The 26,108-nt window shown below is 44.7% G+C and overlaps 5 annotated features.

Annotated features, from left to right (window-relative positions):
• Positions 12,748 to 13,331: an enhancer, noted in NCBI's record as "H3K27ac hESC enhancer chr1:114573243-114573826 (GRCh37/hg19 assembly coordinates)". NCBI's record gives its function as "activates a minimal SCP1, AML or CMV promoter by ChIP-STARR-seq in primed H9 embryonic stem cells {active_cell/tissue: H9 hESC(primed)}" and the evidence as "EXISTENCE:reporter gene assay evidence [ECO:0000049][PMID:30033119]".
• Positions 13,916 to 14,499: an enhancer, noted in NCBI's record as "NANOG-H3K27ac hESC enhancer chr1:114574411-114574994 (GRCh37/hg19 assembly coordinates)". NCBI's record gives its function as "activates a minimal SCP1, AML or CMV promoter by ChIP-STARR-seq in naive H9 embryonic stem cells {active_cell/tissue: H9 hESC(naive)}" and the evidence as "EXISTENCE:reporter gene assay evidence [ECO:0000049][PMID:30033119]".
• Positions 17,154 to 17,448: a silencer, noted in NCBI's record as "tiled region #7982; HepG2 Repressive non-DNase unmatched - State 22:ReprW". NCBI's record gives its function as "represses a minimal TATA promoter and a strong SV40 promoter by Sharpr-MPRA in HepG2 cells {active_cell/tissue: HepG2}" and the evidence as "EXISTENCE:reporter gene assay evidence [ECO:0000049][PMID:27701403]".
• Positions 19,169 to 19,751: an enhancer, noted in NCBI's record as "OCT4-NANOG-H3K27ac-H3K4me1 hESC enhancer chr1:114579664-114580246 (GRCh37/hg19 assembly coordinates)". NCBI's record gives its function as "activates a minimal SCP1, AML or CMV promoter by ChIP-STARR-seq in naive and primed H9 embryonic stem cells {active_cell/tissue: H9 hESC(naive and primed)}" and the evidence as "EXISTENCE:reporter gene assay evidence [ECO:0000049][PMID:30033119]".
• Positions 20,336 to 20,918: an enhancer, noted in NCBI's record as "OCT4-NANOG-H3K27ac hESC enhancer chr1:114580831-114581413 (GRCh37/hg19 assembly coordinates)". NCBI's record gives its function as "activates a minimal SCP1, AML or CMV promoter by ChIP-STARR-seq in naive H9 embryonic stem cells {active_cell/tissue: H9 hESC(naive)}" and the evidence as "EXISTENCE:reporter gene assay evidence [ECO:0000049][PMID:30033119]".

Here is a 26,108-nt window from a genome sequence, read left to right on the forward strand (position 1 = left end):
AGGTGGCCATATGTATCATGGGGCCATATTATGGGGTAATGACATGGATTAGATATTTTGGGGGACTGATGCCTAGCCCTCAGTAATCCCTTTGAGAATCCTCCCTGCCTCATGCTATCTGCTCATTAGAGAGAAGCAGAGAAAGCCCGTCTATGGAGAGAGAAGAGTGGAAGAGAGACGTAGAGGGAAGCAGAGGTGAGAGTCTTTGTGAACCTAGAGTGAGAGAAAAACAAGAAATGGCTGATTTGGTTTCTGTAGGTTTTCCAGCTCCTGGTTTAACTCTCTCCTGACATACCTTCTCCCTGATCTTGGGTTCTGTAAGATACTCGTATATCCATATCATTCATTCTCCTATTTTGTTTAAGCTAGCTCAAATAGATTTTTATTATTCACAACCAAATAATCTTTTTTTTTTTGAGATAGGGTCTCGCTCTGTCACCCAGGATGGAGTGCAGTGGTGCAATAATGGCTCACTGCAGCTTTGAGTTCCTGGGGCTCAGGTGATTCTCCTACCTCAGCCTCCCAAGTAGCTGGAACTACCAGCACACGCCACCACATCTGGCTACTTTTTTTTGTATTTTTTGTAGAGATGGAGTCTTGCTATGTTGCCCAGGCTGCTCTTGAATGCCTGGACTCAAGCAATCAGTTTACCTTAGCCTCTCAAAGGGCTGGGATTACAGGCGTGAGCTACTGCACCTGGCCTAACCAAAAGAATCTTAACCAAAACACAACGCTTAATCAGATTGCTTTCTCAACACCTTTGATTAAAAGAGGAAGAATTTGGATAGTTTTGTTGGAAGGTAACTTTGCTCAAAATATACTGCTGCTTCCTTCCTACAGGCAAATACCATAAATAAGTTTACTTAATTCTCTTTAAATCATTTTCCTCCTTCTCCTTTCTGGTTTGGAGTAATTACGCTGAATGGAAATGGGTGACTGTGGTGACAGCAGGGCAGGGCCCTATACAAACTGCTACACTGCAGACTTTATGTCCTGTGTGATGTTGTTTTCTCAGAACAGCAGCAACTGAGTCCAGGGCTTGCCATCTAAGGCTCAATCTTCCTTCAGCTATCTCTGCTTCTGCAGACTTTTCAAGGGCTTCAGGAACCCTACTGCTGCAGTTCTTACTGTGGGACCTGGAGAGACTCCCTCTCCCACCACCCCTGCCTTGGATTTTGAGTTGAGAACCACTCTTAGAGCCTAAAAGTTAATGGGTTATATGGTTTGTCTCTGTGTCGCCATCCAAATCTCATCTTGAATTGTACTCCCATAATTCCCACGTGTTGTGGGAGGGACACAGTGGGAGATAATTTGAATCATGGGGGTGGTTTCCCCCATACTGTTCTTATGGTAGTGAGTAAGCCTCATGAGATCTGATGGTTTTATCAGGGATTTCTACTTTTGCATCTTCCTCATTTTTTCTTGCCGCCACCATGTAAGAAGTGCCTTTCGCCCCCCAAGATTCTGAGGCCTCGTAAGCCAAGTGGAACTGTAAGTCCAACTAAACCTCTTTTTCTTCCTAGTCTTGGGTATGTCTTTATCAGCAGCATGAAAACAGACTAATACAGTAAATTGGTACCAGTAGAGTGGAGTGTTGTTGAAAAGATACCCAAAAATGTGGAAGCGACTTTGAAACTGGGTATCAGGCAGAGGTTAGAACAGTTTGGAGGGCTCAGAAGAAGACACGAAAATGTGGGAAAATTTGGAACCTCCTAGAGACTTGTTGAATGGCTTTGACAAAAATGCTGATACTGATATGAGCAATAAGGTCCAGGCTGAGTTGGTCTCAGATGGAGATGAGGAACTTATTGGGAACTGAAGCAAAGGTGACTCTTGTTATGTTTTAGCAAAGCAACTGGCAGCATTTTTCCCCTGCCCTAGATATTTGTGGAACTTTGAACTCAAGAGAGATGATTTAGGGTATCTGGTAGAAGAAATTTCTAAGCAGCAAAGCATTCAAGAGGTGACATGGGTGCTGTTAGAAGGATTCTGTTTTAAAAGGGAAACAAAGCATAAAAGTTCAGAAAATTTGCAGCCTGATGATGCAATAGAAAAGATAAACCCAGTTTTTGAGGAGAAATTCAAGATGGCGGCAGAAATTTGCATAAGTAACACGGAGCTGAATGTTAATCCTCAAGACGATGGGGAAAATGTCTCTAGGGCATGTCATAGGTCTTCATGGCAGCCTCTCCCATCACAGACCTAGAAGCCTAGGAGGAAAAAATGGTTTCATGGGCTGGGCCCAGGGTCCCCATGCTGTATGCTGCCTAGGGACTTGGTGCCCTGCATCCCAGCTGCCCTAGCCCTTGCTAAAAAGGGCCAAGGTATAGCTCAGCCCAGTGTTTCAAAGGGTGCAAGCCCCAGACCTTGGCAGCTTCCATGTGGTGGTGAGCCTGTGGATGCACAGAAGTCAAGAATTGAGGATTTGGAACATCCAGCTAGATTTCAGAAGACATAAGGAAATGCCTGGATGCCCAGGCAAAAGTTTGCTGCAGGGCAGGGCCCTCATGGAGAACCTCTGCTGGGGCAGTGCAGAAGGGAAATGTGGGGTCAGAGACCCCACACAGAGTCCCTATGAGGGCACCGCCTAGTGGAGCTGTGAGAGGAGGGCCACTGTCCTCCAGACCTCAGAATCCACTGACAGCTTGCACTTACTTGCACCTGGAACAGCTGCAGGCACTCCACGCCAGCCTGAGAAAGCAGCCAGGAGTTGGGGGCTATACCCTGCAAAGCCACAGGGGTGGAGCTGCCCAAGACTATGGGAACCTACCCCTTGCATCAGCATGGCCTGGATGTGAGACATAGAATCAAAGGAGATCATTTTGGAGCTTTGAAATTTGACTGCCCTGCTGGATTTCGGACTTCCATGGGCCCTGTAACCCCTTTGTTTTGGCCAATTTCTCCCATTTGGAATGGGTGTATTTACTCAATACCGGTAACCCCATTGTATCTAGGAAGTAACTAGCTTGCTTTTGATTTTACGGGCTCATAGGTGGAAGAGACTTGCCTTATCTCAGGTGAGACTTTGGACTGTGGACTTTTGGGTTAATGTTGAAATGAGTTAAGACTTTGGGGGACTGTTGGAAGGCATGATTGGCTTTGAAATGTGAGGATATGAGATTTGGAGGGGTCAGGGGCGGAATGATATGGTTTGGCTGTGTCCCCACCCAAATCTCATCTTGAGTTGTACTCCCATAATTCCCACATGTTGTGGGAGGGACCCAGTGGGAGATAATTCAAATCATGACGGCAGTTTCCCCCATACTGTTCTCATGGTAGTGAATAAGTCTCATGAGATCTGATGGGTTTATCAGGGGTTTCCACTTTTGCATCTTCCTCATTTTCCCTTGCTGCTGCCATGTTAGAAGTGCCTTTGACCTCCCACCATGGTTCTGAGGCCTCCCCAGCCATGTGGAACTGTAAGTCCAATTAAACCTCTTTGTCTTCCCAGTCTCGGGTATGTCTTTATCAGCAGTGTAAACATGGACTAATACAGCCAGCAAAAAAGACTATTGAGGGAAATGGAGAAATCATTTTTTTAGGGGGGGGACAGAGTCTCACTCTGTCACCCAGGCTGGAGTGCAGTGGTGTGATCTCAGCTCACTGCAACCTCCGCCTCCTAAGTTCAAGCAATTCTCATGCCTCAGCCTCCTGAGTAGCTGGGATTACAGGCATGTGCCGCCACACCCGGCTAATTTTTTTGTATTTGTAGTAGAGATGGGGTTTTGCCATGTTGGCCAGGCTGGTCTTGAACTCCTGGCCTCATATGATCCACCCGCCTCAGCTTTCCAAAGTGCTGGGACTGTGGCAGGCCATTTCTCCCTGACAATCACACAGACAGGCCTGCATGACAGACAGCCACACAGACAGGCCTGCATAGCACTCCAATTACACAGACAAATTTCCACAGAGCTGCCTTAATGTTGAGCAAACAGTTAAACCTAGGGAAATCGATATCCAGACATCAAAGCTAGAAATGAAACATATGGTCAGCAGGAGCCTTGCATGGGCTTCTCCCTTGTTGGAGCAAATCAAAATAATAGAGACAGCCTTACATTCCTAGTGCCAGGACCTGTCTCAGTTCGACGAAATCTGAGACGAGTCAAGGTAACAGAGGCAGCTGTTTGAATAGATCCATTGGAGAGTCTGAGGCAGCTCTCCAGACCAAGCTGTAAAGGAGATAAGACAGAAATAATCACTCTGGTACCACAGTAGACAGGCCTTTAAGGTACTAGGGCCCTCACAGCTTAATCGGACTTAGCAAGCATTTTTCTGCGTCTGACCTTCTAGTTGAAACGAAATTAGTTACCAATAGACTTAGGTGAATGGTGTACTACACGTAGGCACATAACCCCAACCTATATAAGCACTAAGAAAATTGTAACACTTTGAGTTGGTCTGGTGGAATTATCTCCGACCTTCTCTCTGTATCCGGTTACAGCAATAAAGTCCTAGTTTGTCTGCTTCTTGTTATTGGGCCATGAGAAAATGCAGCCAGACCCAGCTTGGTTCTGGGAATGGGATTACAGGTGTGAGCCTCCGTGCACGGTCGATAAAACAATTTTAAGAAATACAAATCCACATTCACTTATTACAAATAGATTCAATGCATCTGAGAATAGCATCAAATATGGACTTAATTTAAAAATATATATAGTTCTTAGTTTTCTTCTTTGTCCCCTGCGACAGAAAAACTCAAGATACCAAGCAGTTTGACTGGAGTGGTAGGACATGCAGAATGACTGGGAAGGGGCTCCAAATGTGTGCTCTATTCTGGAAGTAATTAAAAATCCAGGAAGTACTTACATATATGAGCTCAGCTGGACAGTTAGGCCCCAAGTTTGGGGGAGGTCAATTCATGCGGAGGATGTGGAGGATGACCTTGTCTTGCTTCACAGAGATACCCTCTAGAGAAAAAATGGAAAACAAATGTCTGAGTCTCATCTATGTGCACTGTGTGATGGATTTCTGAATGTGAAATACTGGGACCACCCAGAAAATTTTATATTTGAGAAGATCAGAAATTCTAGAAGAAAGAATTCTCTGGTCATCCGGCCAGTAAGCATTCGATGAACACTTGTTTGGGCCACAACACTGAACTAGGAGCAGCAAAAGACATGAGAGACACCAAAAGCATGGACCCCAGGGTGAGAACCTTTATGTTTCACTCATGCAGCCTTTATGAAGCACCTGTTATGTGTCAGACACTATTCTGGGCATTGGAATGAAGCAGTAAACCAGGATAGAGGAGGCCCCTGCTCCCATGAAGTTTCAATCCTAATGGAGATGATATAGGAGTTAAAAATGAATTATTTAGGCAGATAGTGAAGGTAAGGAAGTCCTCAGTAAGGTTTTCCTTTTAATGAAAAGCAGCCCCCAAATCATTTTCTTTTCTAACAAAGAGCAGCCTGTAAAATTGAGCTGCAGACATAGAAAGGCCGACTAGAAGCTTGCACAGGTGAGTGCCGGCAGTTATGCCAACAGGCTACCTGGGGCTAGGCATGTCTAACATGGCGGCTCCATCTTCCCTTTTCCTTTCCAGCCATGTGTGCAGTAGGGAGCAGACAACATGGCACTGGCCAAGTGGAAAGCCCATTTGCATAATAAGATTAGAGTGGGGTGGCCAGTGTCCCCTCCTGCTATGTAAACCTCACACTTGGTCCAACCAATCTGTGGGCCATATGTAAATCAGACACCGTCTCCTCAAGCCTGTCTATAAAATCCGGTGCACTCCAGTGCACTCTGCTGCAGGCCGGAAGTCCCATTTGGGCACCCCTTACTCTCCTGCAAGAGAAAGAGCTGTTCTCCTTTCTTTCTTTTGCCTATTAAGCCTCTGCTCCTAAATCCACTTCTTGTGTCTGCATCCTCAACTCCCTTGGTGTGAGATGACGAACCCCGGGTATTTACAATGATGCCACTTCAGAGAGAGATGAAAAACAAGCAAAAAAAAAAAAAAAAAAAAAAGCTAATTAAAACATATGTAGGCTAATTTTCAGAGAATGAAGGAAATGAAGGAGAGTAATGAGATAGAGTGGGGCTAGGAACTGGGGTTGTTTTAAATCTGGGGATCAGGGAAGGGCCCTGAGACCTGAATAATGAGAAGAGGCCACCAGGTGAAGCTCTAGGGGGAACGTATTTTAGTACAGACGCCCTGAGGAATGTTTGAGGATCACAGAGAGGGAGGCAGCAGTATGGTTAGAGAGTGAGAATGAGGTGAGGGAGGAGGGCAAGGGCCAGACCATCTTAGCCTGTGGACCAGGGAAGAAGTTGGTTTCATTCAAAGCCTAACAACAAGCCTCTGCAGGGTTTTAAGCAGGAGAGTAATATGAGCTGATTGAAACAGCAAAAGCCCACGCCAGCTGCTTTGTGAGGAATGGAGCCGCAGTGGAAGCTACCAGCAGGGAGGCTGGTTAGGATTGCAGTCTAAACCAAAAGTAGAATTCTAAGGCCCCACTGACCATCTGAACAGATCCTCCTCTTGGCCAAGTGCATTCCAAAGTTAGCCTACATACAGGCTCACTCCTCTAATCCCGTTCCCGGAACCAAGCCGGGTCTGGCTGCGTTTTCTCATGGCCCAATAACAAAAAGCAGATAAACTAGGAATTATTGCTGTAACTGGATACAGAGAGAAGGTCGGAGATAATTCCACCAGACCAACTCAAAATGTTACAATTTTCTTAATGCTTATATAGGTAGGGGTTATATGCCTACGTGTAGTATGGCAAAATTAGCCTACATATATTTTAATTAGCTTTTTTTTTTTTTTTTTTTTTTTGCTTATTTTTCATCTCTCTCTGAAGTGGCATCATTATCTGGGGTAAATACCCAGGGTTCGGGGCCGGGCGCGGTGGCTCACGCCTGTAATCCCAGCACTTTGGGAGGCCGAGGCGGGCGGATCACGAGGTCAGGAGATCGAGACCATCCCGGCTAAAACGGTGAAACCCCGTCTCTACTAAAAATACAAAAAATTAGCCGGGCGTAGTGGCGGGCGCCTGTAGTCCCAGCTACTTGGGAGGCTGAGGCAGGAGAATGGCGTGACCCGGGAGGCGGAGCTTGCAGTGAGCCGAGATCCCGCCACTGCACTCCAGCCTGGGCGACAGAGCGAGACTCCGTCTCAAAAAAAAAAAAAAAAAATACCCAGGGTTCGTTGTCTCACACCAAGGGAGTTGAGGACGCAGACACAAGAAGCTGATTTAGGAGCAGAGGCTTAATAGGCAAAACAAAGAAAGGAGAACAGCTCTCTCTCTTGCAGGAGAGTGAGGGGTGCCCAAATGGGATCCCATGACGGGGGAGGGGGTCAGACATGCTTCATTATACCCTCCTCTCTTTTGGAATTCAGGAAAAGCTGATCAGCATTAACATCAACACAGACCTTAAGTCTGATAAGAAACATTTACAATCTATTCTCTCTGAAGCCTGCTACCTGGAGGTTTCATCTGCATAATAAAACTTTGGTTTCCACAACCCCTTATCATCATAACCCAGACATTCCTTTCTATTGATTCCAGGTCTTTAAATAATAACTTAACTCTTTCAACCGAATGCCAATCAGAAAATTTCTAAATCTACCTATAACCTGGAGGCCCCATCCTCACCCCTTCTAGTTGTCCCACCTTTCAGAACTGAACCAATGTACATCTTACATATATTTGATTGATGTCTAATATAACCCTAAAATGTATAGAACTAGGCTGTGGCCCAGTGCAGTTGTTCAAACCTGTAATCCTGGCACTTTGGGAGGCTGAGGCAGGAGGATCGCTCAAGCTCAGGAGCTAGAGACCAGCCTGGGCAATGTGGTGAAACCCCATCTCTACAAAAAACACAAAAATTAGCTAGGTGTGGTGGTGCGTGCCTGTAGTCCCAGCTACTCTGGAGGCTTAGGTGGGAGGATTGCTTGAGTCTGGTAGGTTGAGGCTGCAGTGAGCGATATCACACCACTGCACTCCAGCCAGGGCAACAGAGTGAGACCCTGTCTCAAAAACCAAACAAACAAACAAACAAACCAGGCTGTGCCCAGACCACCTTGGGCACATGTTCTCAGGATCTCCTGAGGGCTATGTCACAGACCACTGGTCACTCCTATTTGACTCAGAATACATCTCTTCAAATATTTTACAGAGTTTGACTCTTTCTGTTGATAGCAGTAAACTCAGAGGAGGAAGGCTGGGGGCTAGGATGGACAGGCAGCAGTAGGGATGGTGAGATAGGATTTGATTTAATACACAGTCCGAGGAGCCAGGACCTGCTGGTTTTTTCTGTGGGTGGGATGAGTGGAGAAAGTGAGGATGATTCAGGATTGTGGCTTGAACAAATGCAGTCTCCAACTGAGACTGGGGGAAGGAGGTTTTGTTTTTGTTTTTGAGATAGGGTTTCACACAGTCTCCCAGGCTGGAGTACAGTGGTGCGATCATAGCTCTCACTACAGCCTTGAACCCCTGGGCTCAAGTGATCCTCCTACTTCAATATCCCAAGTAGCTGTGATCACAGGCACATGCCAGCTAATTTTTTAGATTTTTATAGAGATGTGGGATCTCACTATGTTGCCCACCCCTCAAAAATGCTGGGATTACAAACATGAGTCATTATGTCCAACCTGAAGGAGGTGTTTTAACGGGAAATCGAAGAAGAGGCTTGGAAGAGAAAAATGAAGAATACCATATGGGACATGTTAAATTTGCAGTGCTTTATTATTCATTCAATTTGGTTGAACAAACAAATTATAAACAGGCAGAACAAAGTGAATATTGTAAAAAGCATGGTATCCACAGAGGCCTCAAATATTATATATGAAATCCCCTTAAACCCTTACACCAAAGGATCCTGCAGCTCAAAGCTCCAACTTCATCACTTACCTAGATGACTGTGGGCATGATCTTAACTCCCCAGATCTTACATTCCTCACCTGTAAAATACAGATAAAAATAGTATTAACTTCATAAGCCTGTTGTGACAGTTGAAAGAGATTCTGTACATAGAATACTTAGCACTGGCCCACAGTAATATATTAATATTCGTGAATATTAGCTGTTGGCATTCAATGAATGTGAACTATTGGTAGTTGTATTCATTTCCTAAGACTGCTGTAACAGAATACCGTCAACTGGATGGTTTAAAATAACACAAGTTTATTGTGTCACAGTTCTGGAGTCTGGAAGTCTGAAACTGGGGCACTGGCAGGGCCGTGCTGTCTCTGAAACCTATAGGGGAGAATCCTCCTTTGCCTCTTCTAGTTCTGTTGGTTTGCTGGCAATCTTCGGCATTCCTTGGTTTGTAGATGCATCGCTGTAATCTCCCACCTCTGTCGTCTTATGGCTGTTTTCTCCTCGTGAGTGTTTTTTTTTTTTTAAAGACAGAGTTTTACTCTTGTTGCCCAGGCTGGAGTGCAATGGCGCGATCTCGGCTCACCACAACCTCCACCTCCCAAGTTCAAGCTATTCTCCTGCCTCAGCCTCCTGAGTAGCTGGGATTACAGGCATGTGCCACCATGCCCGGCTAATTTTTTGTATTTTCAGTAGAGATGGGGTTTCTCCATGTTGGTCAGGCTGGTCTTGAACTCCCGACCTCAGGTGATCCACCTGCCTCAGCCTCCCAAAGTGCTGGGATTACAGGTGTGAGCCACCACGCCAGGCTGACTCTCTTTGTGTGTCTTTGTGTCTTCACATGGTATTCTCTGTATATCTCTCTCCTCTTCTTGTAAGGACACCAATTATTTTAGAGTAAGATCCCACCCAACATCAATATGACCTCACCATAACCAATTCCATCTGCAAGGACCCTATTTCCAAATAAGATCACATTCTGTGGTACTGGAAAGTAGGAACACAATTTGACACATAATAGTGGTGGTATTAGTATTAGCATGGATGATACTTATTTCCATATCTTGGTAGAGGGCCCTGCCAAATAGAGCCATTTACAACCAGTCCTTTCAATTCATGTAACAGTCTTTGTCTCTAATAAAGAACTTGATTGTATGTGGTTGGCGTTTTAGCAGAAAGAAGATTGAGATGATCTGTTTATAATTATGGAATTTTTAGTAGGTTTGCAGTGACCAGGATTGATTTAGTCCAATTACCTCATTTTATGATTAAGAAAACTGAAGCCTAGAAATGTGATGTGATTTGGCAGAGGACACATATCTATATAGCACCCAAGCCAGTATAGAAACCTTGTCTTCTAAGGTTATTTCTTGAAAGTTTATTTCTTCTAAGGTTATTGCTTGAAAAAGAAATTCTAGTGCAACAGAACAAGTTGGAGTTAGGATTTTTACCTTTGGAGTAAACTGAAGTCTTGAGAATGTTTCCCCCATTTTGCTTATTTGGTCCTACAGTCTAATAACATCAAATTTCATTACCTTCTTCCCTTCCTAATCACAACTCCTCTTCCAATCATCTCGCCTGCTTTAAGTCCAAACATATTTTCAAGAGGAAATGTCAGACAAGAAGATTCAGGAATCAGGAGGGGAAAAAGATGAACACAAGATACCTCTCTCCTTCTTCAACTCGATTCAGAACACTTAGTGTTCACTTCCTATTTAACTCTGGAGAGGTTATGCAGCAACTCAGAGAGGCTGAAAAATATGAAACTCTAGGCTGGGTGTGGTGGGTCATGCCTGTAATTCCAGCACTTTGGGAGGCCAAGGTGGGCAGATCGCTTGAGCCCTGAAGTTTGAGCCCAGCCTGGACAATGTGGTGAAATCCTGTCTCTACAAAAAAATTAAAAATTAAAAAAAAAATTCTAAACAAATGTGACCAGTTGTGACTTCATCTGTAGTTCCCGCAGCCTGGGAATGATGTTATTTCAAGCAACTCTTTTTTATTTTTATTTTTTATTCTTCTTCTTATTTTTTGAGACAGAGTCTCACTCTCCTGCCCAGGCTGGAGTGCGGTGGCGTGATCTTGGCTCATTACAACCTTCGCCCAGGTTCAAGTGATTCTCTTACCTCAGCCTCCTGAGTAGCTGGGACTACAGGTGCACGCTACCACACCTGGCTAAATTTGTATTTTTAGTAACAACAGGGTTTCACCCAGCCTGGAGCTCCTGATCTCAGGTGATCCACCCACCTCAGCCTCCCAAAGTGCTGGGATTACAGGTGTGAGCCACCATACCCGGCCAGCAACTTATTATTATTATTTTTTGAAAAAGCAATTCTAGTGCAACAAAACAAGTTGGAGTTAGGATTTTTACGTTTGGAGTAAACTGAAGGCTTAAATACCATATCAGTTAGGATGCTTTCAGCTGCAAGTAACTTAATAGCTGAATAACATGGCTAAAACAGTAAGGGATTTGTTATGTCATATAATGAGAACATTAAAGTTAGAGAATTCAGGGTAGTTCAACAAATTCAAGGAGCCTGGAGTGTCTTCTCAGGAATTCTGTTGGCAGCAGCTCCCAGGGTAATTGTATTAATCATGCCTTTCTATTTGCCGTATTTCTGATACTTTGACCTCTGGGGGCCTTGCTGACCCTTGAGAAACTGTCCCTGTCTGGGCTAGTCAATTCCTGGAGACAGTAAATCACTTGCCCAGAAGTGTGACTTTCAGATACAAACCAACCCATCCAGAGCCCACACCCCAACCACCTCCTTTATGAGGCACTCACAGGGCTCTCATACTCTGGGCCACTATCCACCTGCCCTGATCACCCCAGGGTCAGGTACCAGGCAACTATGGATGGTCCCTATGCCCCAGAGCCCACTGAAAGTATTGAAATCAGCTGATCCTAAGCCTGCTAACTCTGCCTCACTTGTTCTGTCATGTGGCGCCCACACTGGCTCTCCCTAACTCATCACTCCCTTTTCATTACATACAGCCAAAATGCAAGGCTGTGTGGTCGGAGTTCTTACACAAGAGCCGGACCATGCCCTGTAACCTTTTTGTCCAAACAACTTGACCTTACTGTTTTAGGCTGGCCATCATGTCTCCACGTGGTGGCTGACACCGCCATAATACTTTTAGAGGCCCTCAAAATCACAAACTGTGCTCAACTCACTCTCTACAGTTCTCATAACTTCCAAAATCGATTTTCTTCCTCAAACCTGATGCATATACTTTCTGCCCCACTCCACTACCTCTCAGCAAGCCAAACTCATTACCTTAACTCGAGCCCTCACTCTTGCAAAAGGACTACGCGTCAATATTTATACTGACTCTAAATATGCCTTCCATATCCTGCACCACCATGCTGTTTTATGGGCTGAAAGAGGTTTCCTCACTACACAAGGGTCCTCCATCATTAATGCCTCTTTAATAAAAACTCTTCTCAAGGCCACTTTACTTCCAAAGGAAGCTGGAGTCATTCACTGCAAGGGCCATCAAAAGGCATCAGATCCCATTGCTCAGGGCAACACTTATGCTGATAAGGTAGCTAAAGAAGCAACTAGTGTTCCAACTCCTTTCCCTCACGGCCACTTTTTCTCCTTCTCATCGGTCACTCCCACCTACTCCCCCACTGAAACTTCCACCTATCAGTCTCTTCCCAAACAAGGCAAATGGTTCTTAGACCAAAGAAACTATCTTCTTCCAGCCTCACAGGCCCATTCTATTCTGTCATCATTTCATAACCTCTTCCATATGGATTACAAGCTGCTAGCCCATCTCTTAGAACCTCTCATTTCCTTTCCATTGTGGAAATCTATCCTCAAGAAAATCACTTCTCAGTGTTCCATCTGCTATGCTACTGCTCCTCAGGGATTATTCAGGCCCTGTGACCTCCCTTCCCTACACATCGAGCTCAGGGATTTGCCCCTGCCCAGGACTGGCAAATTAATTTTACTTACATCCCCCGAGTCAGGAAACTAAAATACCTCTTGGTCTAGGTAGACACTTTCACTGGATAGGTAGAGGCCTTTCCCACAGGGTCTGAGAAGGCCACCACGATCATTTCTTCCCTTCTGTCAGACATAATTCCTCAGTTTGGCTTTCCCACCTCTATACAGTCTAATAATGGACAGGCCTTTACTAGTCAGATCACCCAAGCAGTTTCTCAGGCTCTTGGTATTCAGTGGAACCTTCATACCCCTTACCGTCCTCAATCATCAGGAAAAGTAGAACTGACTAATGGTCTTTTCAAAACACACCTCACCAAGCTCAGCCTCCAACTTAAAAAGGACTGGACAGTACTTTTACCACTTGCCCTTCTCAGAATTCGGATTGCTACAGGGTACAGCCCATTTGCGCTCCTGTATGGATGCTCCTTTTTATTAGGCCCCAGTCTCATTCCAGACACCAGCCCAACTTGAACTGCACCCCAAAAACTTGTCATCCCTACTGTCTTCTGTCTAGTCATACTCCTATTCGCCATTCTCATCTACCCATAAATGCCCTGCTCTTGTTTACATTGCCGGTTTACACTTTTCCTTCGAACCAGCATAACTGATATCTCCTGGTTTTACCTCAAACCGCCACCCTTAAGTCTCTCTTAAAGTGGATAGATAATCTTTGCTGACAGGGTACGCTCCAATACTTTCACCCTGATGAAGCCCTATTCTTTACTTTTATACTCACTCTTATTCTCATTCTCATTCTTATGCCACTCTCTACCTCTCTCCCCAGCTATCTCCACCACACTATCAATCTCTCTCACTCTCTCCTAGCCGTTTCTAATCCTTCTTTAACAAACAATTGCTGGCTTTGCATTTCTCTTTCCTCCAAAATCGCTGAGGCCTCAACTTACACACTGAAAAAAAAAAAGACTCTGTATATTTTTAAATGAAAAGTGTTGTTTTTACCTAAATCAGTCTGACTTGGTTTGTGACAACATAAAAAAACTCAAGGATAGAGCCTAAACTTGGGACCAAGCAAGTAATTACGCTGAACCCCCTTAGGCACTCTCTAATGTCCTGGATGTCTGGATGTCCTGGGCCCTCCCAATTCTTAGTCCTTTAATATCTGTTTTTCTACTTCTTTTATTCGGGTCTTGTGTCTTCCGTTTAGTTTCTTAATTCATCCAAAACCGTATCCAGGTCATTACCAATCATTCTATACGAAAAATGTTTCTTCTAACAACCTCACAATGTCACCCCTTACCACAAAATCTTCCTTCAGCTTAATCTCTCCTACTCTAGCTTCCCACGCCACCCCTAATCCCGCTCGAAGCAGCCCTGAGAAACACCGTCCATTATCTCTCCACACCACCCCCCAAAATTTTCACTGCCCCAACACTCACCACTATTTCATTTTATTTTTCTTATTAATATAAGAAGACAGGAATATCAGGTCTCTGAGCCCAAGCTAAGCCATCATATCCCCTGTGACCTGCATGTATACATCCAGATGGCCTGAAGCAAGTGAAGAATCACAAAAGAAGTGAAAATGGCCTGTTCCTGCCTTAACTGATGACATTACCTTGTGAAATTCCTTCTCCTGGCTGATCCTGGCTCAAAAGCTCCCCCACTGAGCACCTTGTGACCCCCACCCCTGCCCACCAGAGGACAACCCTCTTTGGCTGTAATTTTCCACTACCTACCCAAATCCTATAAAACAGCCCCACCCCTATCTCCTTTCACTGACTCTCTTTTTGGACTTAGCCCACCTGCACCCAGGGGAAATAAACAGCCTTGTTGCTCACACAAAGCCTGTTTGGTGGTCTCTTCACACGGACGTGTGTGACAAGGAACACCCTCCTTGAGCACAGGGGGAGGGTGAATATCAGAACTGAATCTGACTTCTGACAACATAGGAGCTGAAGGGACCTTGGATGTTGGGTAAGCAGTTCCCACTGTCTGTCACAAGCCCTAATAAAATACAAGTAAGAGAAAAGAACAAAACTGGGGCAATCTAATCAAGAAAGGCTTTCTGGAATGCATGAGGCCCCAGCGAGATCTAAAATTCCTAGATGGACTTGGTGTTGTGGAAGCAAGACAGCAGTCGGGCAAAGGAGAGACAGGAAGCAAATGAATTCTACCTTGCCAACAATGGGAAACAGACATACTTAATGTGAGTAGAGAGGTAGCCTTGGCCAGGAAAGTTTGTTTGAAGATCCTGGTCTGTCTTGACTTTAAATCACTTGCCTTTGGAATGGAAGAGAACAGACATCTCATCAAATGAACCAATCTGAATGCAAGGAGCACCCGAATCCATCCCCACTCAGGAATCCTGGTTACAGATGCTAAAAGATGTCTTTGACAGTGAACAGTGGGTCATAAGATCTATTTCTGCCTCCTGTCTGTGACTCACTGGATGACTCAAGGTGAATCTCTCCCCATTTCTGAGTATCTGGCCCCCATCCATGAAGAACAGAAGATCACATCAGTATTTCCCTTCGGCAAGGTTGGCCCCCGCTGCAGCAACTGTGCAAAGACCACCAGACTGCCCTCTCTGCCAGCTTACTCTTCAGCCTTTCTGGCTCTTTCTCCCACTTCCACATCCCTGCTTCATTTTTCTTTTTCTCCTTTTGCAAATAGCATTGCTCCAAAGCAACCCAGGCACGTGTCTTGGGGACAGCGCTGCGAGCTACCCCTGAGCTGTGGGGAGCAGGCCCAAGATTGTTTGCTATTAGCAACTCCTGTTTGCAGGATAAATAAAGCGAACCTGAGTGCAGGCTCCTGTGGGCTGGGACATTTTCATTCTGCAGCAGGTCAGCTTCCATTCCACTAGGGGGCTTTGAATGTTAATAGGCATTTCTTTCCAGGTACCCTTCTCCTTTCTCTACAGTGCACCAGTCCCTGTGGGACCTTCCATTGGCATCCTACGGAGAGATTATTACTCTTTTCATTGTTTTCCTTACAAATTAGTTTCTGGATTTAATGGCTTTGGTTGCTGAGCAGATTTTGGAAATTGGGGCAGATGGTGGGGTGGGGTGATCTGCAGAGCCCATTATGGGCACTGGGTTATTGACTGCTTGGGATTTAAGGTGGAATTAACGCTTTCCTGTTTCTTGGGGAATTTTGCGATGGGGTTGGACCTTCTTTTCCCTTAGAAGGAATTGTGTTTGTTGTTATTGCATGTTTAAGAAGCTTCTAGAAATTGTAGCTCTGGAATACAATAGGTAGAGAATGCAGGTTTTTAATGGGATGTGGGGGAGTGTTGCTCAGTTGTGGGAAGATTTGTAATAATGGTTGGGACTGGGGATAGAGCGTTACCTGAGGACGGTTTTATTAATGCCACAAAGCATAAAGTTTAAAAAAAAAGAAAAAAGAAAATCCAGGGGTGTCTTACTGTCAGAAGCTTTGGAACCATGTTGAATAGGTGCTGGGTAAAATGAGACTGAGACCTGCTGGGCTGCATTCCCAGGAGGTTAGGGATTCGCAGTCACAGGGTGTTTACAGTTAAGGGAACAGGTTAATAATGTTTACCAAACAGACCCAGGACTTAACAGACCCAAGAAATGTCTTGATGTCCTGCTATCTTAAGCACAAAAGCATTCTTTGTTTAGTAATAAATTTTGCTTTAAAGATAGTAATATAGATTCTTGCAAAAGTCAGTAGTTACACAAGGATTAACAATCCTTTGTCATGAGCCCTTGTAATAGACCACATCCTTTTCATGATTTTTTGCCTTGTTATCTCATATATAAACATGCATTGCACCTAATAAGGTGGGCGCCTTACTCCTCTTGCTTTCAGAAATGCCCTGCTCAGTCCATGGAGCAACCATTCTTTCATTCCTTTACTTTCTTAATAAACTTGCTTTCACTTTACTCTGTGGACTCACCTGGAATTCCTTCTTGTGCAAGATCTAAGAACCCTCTTTCGGGGTCTGGATTGGGACCCCTCTTTCATAACACTGGTGCTAGGAATGTGAGCACAAGTGCATGCCGGAGGAGTGGACAAAGGTGAGAACCACTGTTCCAGGAGGACAGGGTGGGATGAGATGGGCACCCTAGGAGGTAACGGGGTCTGTGAAAAATTGGTGGGAGCTGGTAATCTGAGTGATTCATCTTTGAGTTTAGGATGGGTTAGTCATCTCTACAGTGGGCTGGGACCAAGAGGTGCCCATCCAGCTAGAAACTGCTGCTGAGTGGGAGTTCCCACAAGGGTTTGGAGCTTCGAAATAGGAAGATGGAAGTGAACAGCGAAATGAGCAGCAAGAAAAACAGCTATCATTAAAAGAGGAATTTGGGGATCAGAGAAATTATGCCAAGGAGATGGTACCATTAATCTCCCAATTCAGATGGAAGCCTTTGTAGTTAACGGGGAGACGCCTTGTAATAAAAACCAGGTCAGAACGTAGGCAAAAGGTTCTTTAGCATAATAAGGCCAGGATAATTACTTCCTTAAGAGTAGGGTCAAAGCTGTGTTAATGGGAAGAATATGCATGCATTACATATGCTAGACTGAGGTCTTTGTAAGAAAATGAATTGCAAAGGGGTATTTTCTTTTAGGTCATTCAGGGAAAGAAGACTGCAGCATTTGCTCATGGAGAGGAGCTGAAATGGAGGTGAAAAATCCACTATTTCTGCTCATCATCCCTCCCCACATGCGTAGTTCTCAGCTGATTAGCAGAGCCTTGGATGGAGGAAGACCATACTGACACCCGCCTGAGGAAATGGCAGGACCAAGAGGAGAGTGGGCTTAGGTTTTCCTCATCCTATAGGAGAGGAAGAATATCCTGACTGAGGAAGGACTTACAGTGGGGACTGTGAAGGGGATGGAGTGGGATGAGGAAGGGAATTAGAGAATGGGGAACATTCTGCCCGAGGCGTTGCCTTCTCTTATGTACAGATAATGGTAGCTCTCCTTTATTTGAGGAGCTACTCTGTTCTAAGCTCTTTTACCTGGATGGTCTTGTTTAATCCTCACAGTAATACTAAGAAAAGACACTATTATTTTCTATTTCCATTTCATAGATGAGCAACCAAAGGATTAAAACAGGCGTGTGCAATCATTTGGCGTCCCTGGGCCGCATTGGAGGAAGAATTGTCTTAGGCCACACATAAAATATACTAACACTAACAATAGCTGATGAGCTAAAAAAAAAAAAAAATTACAAAAAAAACTCATAATATTTTAAGAAAGTTTATGAATTTGTGTTGGGCCATATTTAAAGCCATCCTGGGCTGCATATGGCCCATAGGCTGCAGGTTGGACAAACTTGAATTAAAAGTTCATGTGACTTGCCCAAGGTCATTCCCCTAGCGAGTGGTGGAACTAGGATCTGTCTGAGGCAGTGTGGCTCTAGAACTCAATCTCTCAAACTACACACTACACTAGTTCGGAAATGGAGACTAAATGATCACAACCTTCAGTGCTCCAGGTCTTTCTAGCTTTGGAGAACTTTGATAAAGAATTGCTTCAAATGCCATCAGAGATATTACTATAGAGTTTGTGTTTGCCTAGAACAGAGGTGTAAAAATGAAAAAGGTAAAAATAAATAAAATAACTATACAGTCTGACGAAGACTGGCTAGGCTGTGTTAGGAAAGGGGAGAATCCATAATCAGTGGTCATCTGACACACCCCAGGTGACAGCTTTGATTACCCAGGCACAGAGAATGACCAAATGACAAGTAATTTCCCTGCTATTTGGAGATTTGGAGGAAGGAGGGATCTGTCACATGGATTACAAGGTTGGAACTCTGGTGAGGGTGGTGCCAGTCTGCCACATCACGTGGCAGTGAATGAGGCTTAGCTCCAATAGAGGCTCAGGACAGAAAAAGTCACAGAAGAGCTAAACCCACCTTAAGAGCCACCCACCTGTCTACTAAGTCAGGGCTCTTCAGGCAAGTGCATGTGACAGAAACAGTCCTGGGCCCAGGCAGGCCTTCCAGAGAACAGAGATGTGGACACCTGGAAGAGGGCAATGAAGGGCCTCTGATCAATTGTTCAATACATTTATTACCAGTGGCAAATCCATATGGGTCTGCAGCAACCTCAATTCTTGTCTCCTCAGAAAAAAGAATTCAACTGAGGGGTATAAGGCAGAGTAAGAGACCAAGGTAAGTTTTAGAGAAGCAGTGAAACTTTATAAAAAAGCTTTAGAGCAGGCATGAAAGGAAGTAAAGTATGCTTGGAAGAAGGCCAAGCAGGCAACTTAAAAGATCCAGTGCACAGTTTGACCTTTGACTTAAGGTTTTATATGTTGGCATATTTTGGGGTCTTGCATCCCTTCTCCCCCGATTCTTCCCTTGGGGTGGGCTGTCCACATGCGCAGTGGCCTGCCAGCACTTGGGAGGGGCCACATATGCAGTGTGTTTACTGCAGTTGTACACATGCTTACTTGAGGCATTCTTCTCTTGCCACTCAAATGTTTCTAGAAGGTTATTGTCAGGCCTCTGAGCCCGAGCCAAGCCATCGCATCCCCTGTGACCTGCACGTATACGCCCAGATGGCCTGAAGTAACTAAAGAATCACAAAAGAAGTGAATATGCCCTGCCCCACCTTAACTGATGACATTCCACCACAAAAGAAGTGTAAATGGCCGGTCCTTGCCTTAACTGATGACATTACCTTGTGAAAGTCCTTTTCCTGGCTCATCCTGGCTCATAAAGCACCCCCACTGAGCACCTTGCGACGCCCACTCCTGCCTGCGAGAGAACAAGCCCTCTTTGACTGTAATTTTCCTTTACCTACCCAAATCCTATAAAACAGCCCCACCCTTATCTCCCTTCGCTGACTCTCTTTTCGGACTCAGCCTGCCTGCACCCAGGTGAAATAAACAGCTTTATTGCTCACACAAAGCCTGTTTGGTGGTCTCTTCACGCGGACGTGCATGAAAGTTAAACTCTGCCATTTTGCCTCTTAGTGCACATGCTTGAGCCCACTTGCCCAACTCCCGAGATCTTATTGGGAAGCTGCTGATCACACGTTTCAGGTTTTTTCTATCTATTGGGAGACTGCCTTTCCCTGGCACTGGCTGCGATCAATTATTATTTCAGAGAAACAGTGTAACAACCACCTGACCATCACCTGATGGTTGCCTGATGTTTCTGGTTGGGGGGCCTCTCTCCTGCCCTGCTCATGTCTGCCTAGCTACGTACTGTAACATGATGACCTAAAAGGAAGAAGCTGAGGCAAAATTAGTACAAGTTGAGAGGTTATTTGGCCAAGCTTGAGGATTGCAACCTGGCAGCAGAGACTCAAGTTGCCATGAATATACACTCAAACTAGTGGTAGTTACAAGTGGGTTTCCAAAGGAAAAGAAGAGACAGAATTTATGTTAAAAAAATTCTTGGTAAACAACTTAGGAACTGCTTCTTCTTTATTGATTGATTGATTGGCTATGTGTCATTCTTTGTATCACAAATTCCATTCCTTTGAATGGAATGGAATTTAAATGGAGATCCTTTAAATGGAGTTTGTGATACAAAGAACACAAAAACATGAAGATAATGGGTGAGGCAGCTAGTCAGGAACAAAATGCCTTTAAACAATTGCCCCCAGGACAGGCAGGCATGGGTATGTGAGTACCCTCCTCACCTAACCGAATTCCCATACTCATGTCTCTCTAGACCTGATAAATTTTGTAGACCTTACTTACCTCAGACTGCTCTGAGCTATTTTTCTTTCCTCAATTCAATCAGCAAATGTCACTGAGCAAGTACTATGAGTCAGGCATGGTGTTAGGTGGTGAGGATAGAGCACCTGGTTTATGCCTTCAGGTTTTAACAGTATTGTACACCGAAAATAAAACACTAAGCTCTCAGCTGGCTGATGGACCCTCTCTTCAGCCAAGGGCATTCCAAAATTAGCCTGAAAAACTATTCAGGCCATGATGGGAGGTGGGGGACATGCCTCATTGTACCTTCCTCCTGTTGGAATTCAGGCACAGCTGACCAGCATTAACATTAAAACAGAGACCTTAAAACTGAGAAAACAGACTCTTTAAGTCTGACACGAAACATTTACAATCTATTCTCTCTGAAGCCTGCCATCTGAAGGTTTCAACTGCATAAGAACTGTGGTCTCCACAGCTCCTTATCTTAAGTCTGATATGAAACATTTACAACCTATTCTCTCTGAAGCCTGCTACCTGGAGGTTTCATCTGCATAAGAACTGTGGTCTCCACAGCTCCTTATCTTAAGCCAGATACTTCTTTTATTGATTCCAGGTCTTTATATAAACTTTTTCAACCAATTGCCAGAAAACCTTTGAATCTACCTGTGACCTGAAAGCAGGCCCCTGCCCCATCTCATCTTCCTGAACTGAACCAATGTACAGCTTACATGTATCGATTGATGTCTTATGTCCCCCTAAGATGTATAAAACCAAGCTGTAGGCCAACCACCTTGGGCACATGTTCTCAGGATCTCCTGGGGCTGTGTCATGGGCCATTATGGGTCACTCATATTTGGCTCAGAACATATCTCTTCAAATAGTTTACAGAGTTTGGCCCTTTTTGTCAACAGCATAAATAGATAAATAATAAAGCAAACTATAATTGCATGTGGAAAGTGGGAGCAAGCCCAGTACGTTAGCTTGGGGTGAGGTGAAGTCAGGCATACACTCCTGGAAAAGAAGACTTCCAAACTGACACCTGAAGGTGAGTAGGAGTGAGGCAGTCTCAGGATGAGGGTTGGTGGTTGGGGAGGCAAACTTTCCAGGTGGAGCAAACAGCTTGTATAAAGGCCCACAGGTGAGACAGATCTTGGTGGTGAAACTAGTTCCTTCTGGTCAAAAGTGGATGTCAGGGGAGGTGAGCCAAAGCAACATCACGAATAGCCTTGTAGACTTTTTGAAGGAGTGTAAGGCTGGCAGCAGTGGCTCATGCCTGTGGTCCCAGCACTTTGGGAGGCTGAGGCAGGAGAATCACTTGAGCCCAGTAGTTTGAGACCACCCTGGGCAACATAGAGCCTGTCTCTACAAAACATTTTCTTTTTTGAGATGGAGTCTCACTGTCACCCAGGCGGTAGTGCAGTGGCAAGATCTCAGCTCACTGCAAGCTCCGCCTCCAGGGTTCATGCCATTCTCCTGTCTCAGCCTCCTGAGTAGCTGGGACTACAGGTACTTGCCACCACACCTGGCTAATTTTTTTTTTGTATTTTTAGTAGAGATGGGGTTTCACCATGTTAGCCAGGATGGTCTTTATCTCCTGACCTCGTGATCCGCCTGCCTTGGCCTCCCAAAGTGTTGGGATTACAGGTGTGAGCCATCGTGCCTGGCCAGTTTTCTTTTCTTTTCTGTAAGGATTAGTGGTAAAACCCTTAAGATGCAAAGGTTATTCTTGTTTAGAGAAGCCTGGTAGGAATTAAATTGGGAAGACTGTGTACTGTTGAGTGGGGATTTTGTGGAGGGAGGAGTCTGATAGGAGTTGATGACTGCTGGAAAAAAGAAAACAAATTAATTTGCAGGCCTGAGGAAGAGGGATTGTGTTGTTTTAACATATGTCCACAACTTCTTAGGCACTACTCCCATCAAAAGTGTAATCATAATCCTAATAGCTTCATTTGCCCAATGTGCAGCAAGTCAATATACTGAGATACCAGGCACTGCAGTGGACAAAGAGTTTAATCATTGTAGGGCAGCCGAATGAGGAGACAGGAAGAAATCTCAAATCCACCTCCCAGGGAATTTGGAGCTGGGGATTTTGAGGGGTTTGGAGTGGGCCAAGGTGTGGGGATCATTGACTGGTTGAAGAGTGCAGGGAGAAGTCATGGGTCAGGGAGATGAAGCAACTGCATTCTTATTCAGGTTTGGTTCCTCTGTGGCGAGTCTTCAAACTGGTTGGTTTCAGTAGTTTCACAATTCAGGATCTGAAGAACATCTTAAGCAATTCTTAACCAAAAGATTCTAAGATCAGAACGTCTTAAGCAATTCTTAACCAAAATGATTCTAAGGTCAGAAATCCTGCCTAATGGGAGCAAGAGGGATGTGAATAGTCAGTAACTAGTGTTACCTGACTTTCAGTTACAAGGATGTGGCCAAAGTGCAGCTGATTAATACTTTATTATAACTATGTTTCTACCCAGAATCCAGCATGTGATTCCTGTGAACCCTGTGAAGACAGTTTCAAAGGTGGAGTGTAATTCCTATTGCCTTGAATGTGCACCAGTCTGAGTAATTTGCTTCTAATGACTAGAATGTGGTGAGAGTGATGGTCTGTGGCTTTTGAGGCTACGTCATAGCAGGCATTGCTTCTTCTGCCCTGCTCCCTCCTGGACTGTTCACTCAGGGACAAGCCAACTGCCATGTCATGAGGACACTCAGGAAGCTCCATGGAGAGGCACTCATCAGCAGTAACCAACTTGCCATGACCATGTGAGTGAGCCACCTTGGAAGAAGGCACTCCACCCTCAGTCAAGCCTTTTGGTGATTTCAGGTCCCAGCTTTCAAGGCTTCCAACTGAGACCCCAGGTGTTCCATTGTGCTTTGTCTAAATTCATGACACACAACAACTGTGAAGTAATAATTATTTTAAGCCACTCAGTCATGGGGCAATTTGTTACATAGTGATAGATAATTAACACAGGAATACAGATAGGTCTGGACTAAGAGGTGACTGTAAATGTTTAACCAAAGACAAAACCTTTTATTCCTTTATAGTGGACTTTTACACATCAAAGCTTCATCCATGTATTTACTCATACATGCATCTATCCATCCATCTCTCCATCCATCCATTTTCCACCCTCTCATCCTTCCATCCACACACCCAACTACCAAACCATCTATCCATCCATCCATCCATCCATCCAACAATTGCTCCATGAGAGCAAGAACTCTGTCTTCCTTATTCATTTTTATGTCTCCAATGTCCAGAACAATGTGTGGCACATAACACTCAACATATATTTGTTAAATGAATGGGTAATTAATTTTTTCCCCAATCTTCAGAGAGTTCTCAGTGTAACGGTAACAGATAAGAATATCAATAATTGGAACTCAAAGAATGCTACAGTAGAGATGGATATGGGTATCCGGAGGACAGAGGAAAGGCATGTGATTCAGGGCTATAGGGGTACAGTGGAGTCAAGAAAGGATCTGATGTCCAAGCTGAGTTTTAAAGAATAAACAGAGTTGCCCAGGAATTTGAGGCAGGGCTGGCCTGAGAACATATGGAGTATATGGAGAGTGGCTACATTGTGGGTGCCTGGAATCCATTATTCTCTTTATTTGAAGGAGTGTGGGGTGGTCAGAAGACACAGGTGTAAGGAAGCTGCATGACCTGGCCTCAGGAGCAGCAGGAACATCTTCAAGGTAGTTCTGTGCTTTTAAGGAAATCCAGTCCCCCTTTAGGCATCTCCACCTGACCCAACACCAACTGGCTTATTCTTATCCTCACTCACCTTTTCTCTACCTTACCTTTTAATTTCTATAATCTTGGTCTGCTCATACTTTGGTTCATTTTATCTGCCTGTCTAGTTAACACATCATCACCTTATAAGACTCAGGTCAAGAATCATCTCTTTTATGATAAATTTTCTAGATCAGTCGGCCCCCTGGTAGACTCGACCTATTCTTACAGCCCTATCCTTGCCTTTCATCCTGCTGCTTTCAACACCTGCTGCTGATGGACTCATGTTCTTGGGTTTCCCAGTTTGAATTCCCCAGGGAGAGAATCTGATTGATTGGTTTTATCTAATTATGGGTTACTAGTGTGCCTAAAGTCTGGCTGCCTTCAGGACAGGTGCCTGTCCTTGATCCAATCAGCTGTGGCATAGGGAGGTGTCAGGGATATGAGGTAAAAAATAGCCCCCTAGGGCTGCCTGTGTAGCAGTCTGACAGCAGAAAAATCCCCTTAAGTGGGGCTAGGAGCTATAGGAGGACAAATGGCGGGCAGAAGGTTTTGGATCTGGTAGCAGACAGCTTTTGGTGCCCAACATCACATTCCCTTGGCCTACCTCTGGCTTTAGTTGCTACAGTGGTGGAAGGTTCTATGCAAGCCCAAGCCAACTGCTCAATGAGAAGTTTTACCACAAGCAGGCTCCACCTTCTGCCCCAGGAGTCTCTGAGGCCACAGCGCTTCCCTTGAAGAGGGTCGATGGCTGTCATACTCCAGGACAACCTCATGCAGTGGAGGGGCTGGAGTGGTGGGTCACTGTTCTAGACTCCCACCTTTCAGGTGGACAGTCCCGGAAGTGATTCAGGAAGCATCTCGGCATCTTCACAGAACTGAGTCCCTATTGCCTTCCACAGTGGTGTCCCTGTTGTGCCACACTCTGGCATGTTCTCTTGGTCTCTGTTCCTGCTCCCTCACTCCGGGGACAACCCAGACAACCCCATAAATGATCTGCATCCAGGTCTTAATCTTAGACTCTGCTCTCAGGGAACCCAACTGAGATTTATTCTGAAGGCAAGAGGGAGCCCAGGAAGCATTTTTTCCCTTTCTGATAATAATCCTATAATGAACTCTAGGCACTCTGCTGGGTGGAGAGGATATAAGCACAAAACGTTGCAGTCCCTGAACCCAAGGAGCTTATGACCTCCTCCTCCTGTAAACTTTTCAAAGTGTTTTTATTTCCATTATCTCATCTGGCCTTCTCAGCGACCTTTCCAGGAAAGCAGTGCAAACATCATTATCCCCACCTTACAGAAAAAGCGAAGAGACATAGAAAGGTCAAAGCAGTTTCCAAGGTCACACAGCTGCAGAGTGGCCTTTTAGGCAATTAAAATCTTTGGCTGGCTCTATAAATTATCTTAGTTACTCTGGGAAAGCAGTGTTAAAGGCAACACACTTGCTATAATTTAATTATTCACTTGCCGTCTTATATTTTCTTTGTGTTCTCTGTTTCTCTTCCACTTTCCAAATATTGTACTGGCTTTTAATCAGTGCTATATAATTTCTTCTGTGAAACTAGGTCAATGTACAATATGTTAACATAGCGTTCCTTTTACAGTTTAAACAAAATTCCTGCAAAATTGAAACTTAAAAGAAGGGGAAAAAATCCCTTTGACTGCAATTGCATAATTCTTAGCACTGACATGATGGGATTTGCATTTTAGAACGACCAGTAAGTAGTGTGGAGGGTGGCGTGGGGGAGAGCCTGGAAGGGCACGATTACGTTCCCTCCCAAGGTGCTTCTACACCTCTCCACAGCTTTAAATAACATCTTTATGCCAGTGACTCACACATTCATATCTCCAGCCCCAACTTCTCTTCTGAGCTCCAGATTGGCATATCCAGCCCCCTAATTGACATCTCTACTTGGATGTCTCACAGGCACTGAAACTTAACATGTCCAGAATGAACTCAATTTTTCACTCTTTCCCCAAACTGTTTCTCTCCCAGTGT

The sequence above is a fragment of the Homo sapiens genome, chromosome 1, assembly GCF_000001405.40.
Source record: "Homo sapiens chromosome 1, GRCh38.p14 Primary Assembly".
NCBI classification, from domain to species: Eukaryota; Metazoa; Chordata; class Mammalia; order Primates; family Hominidae; genus Homo; species Homo sapiens.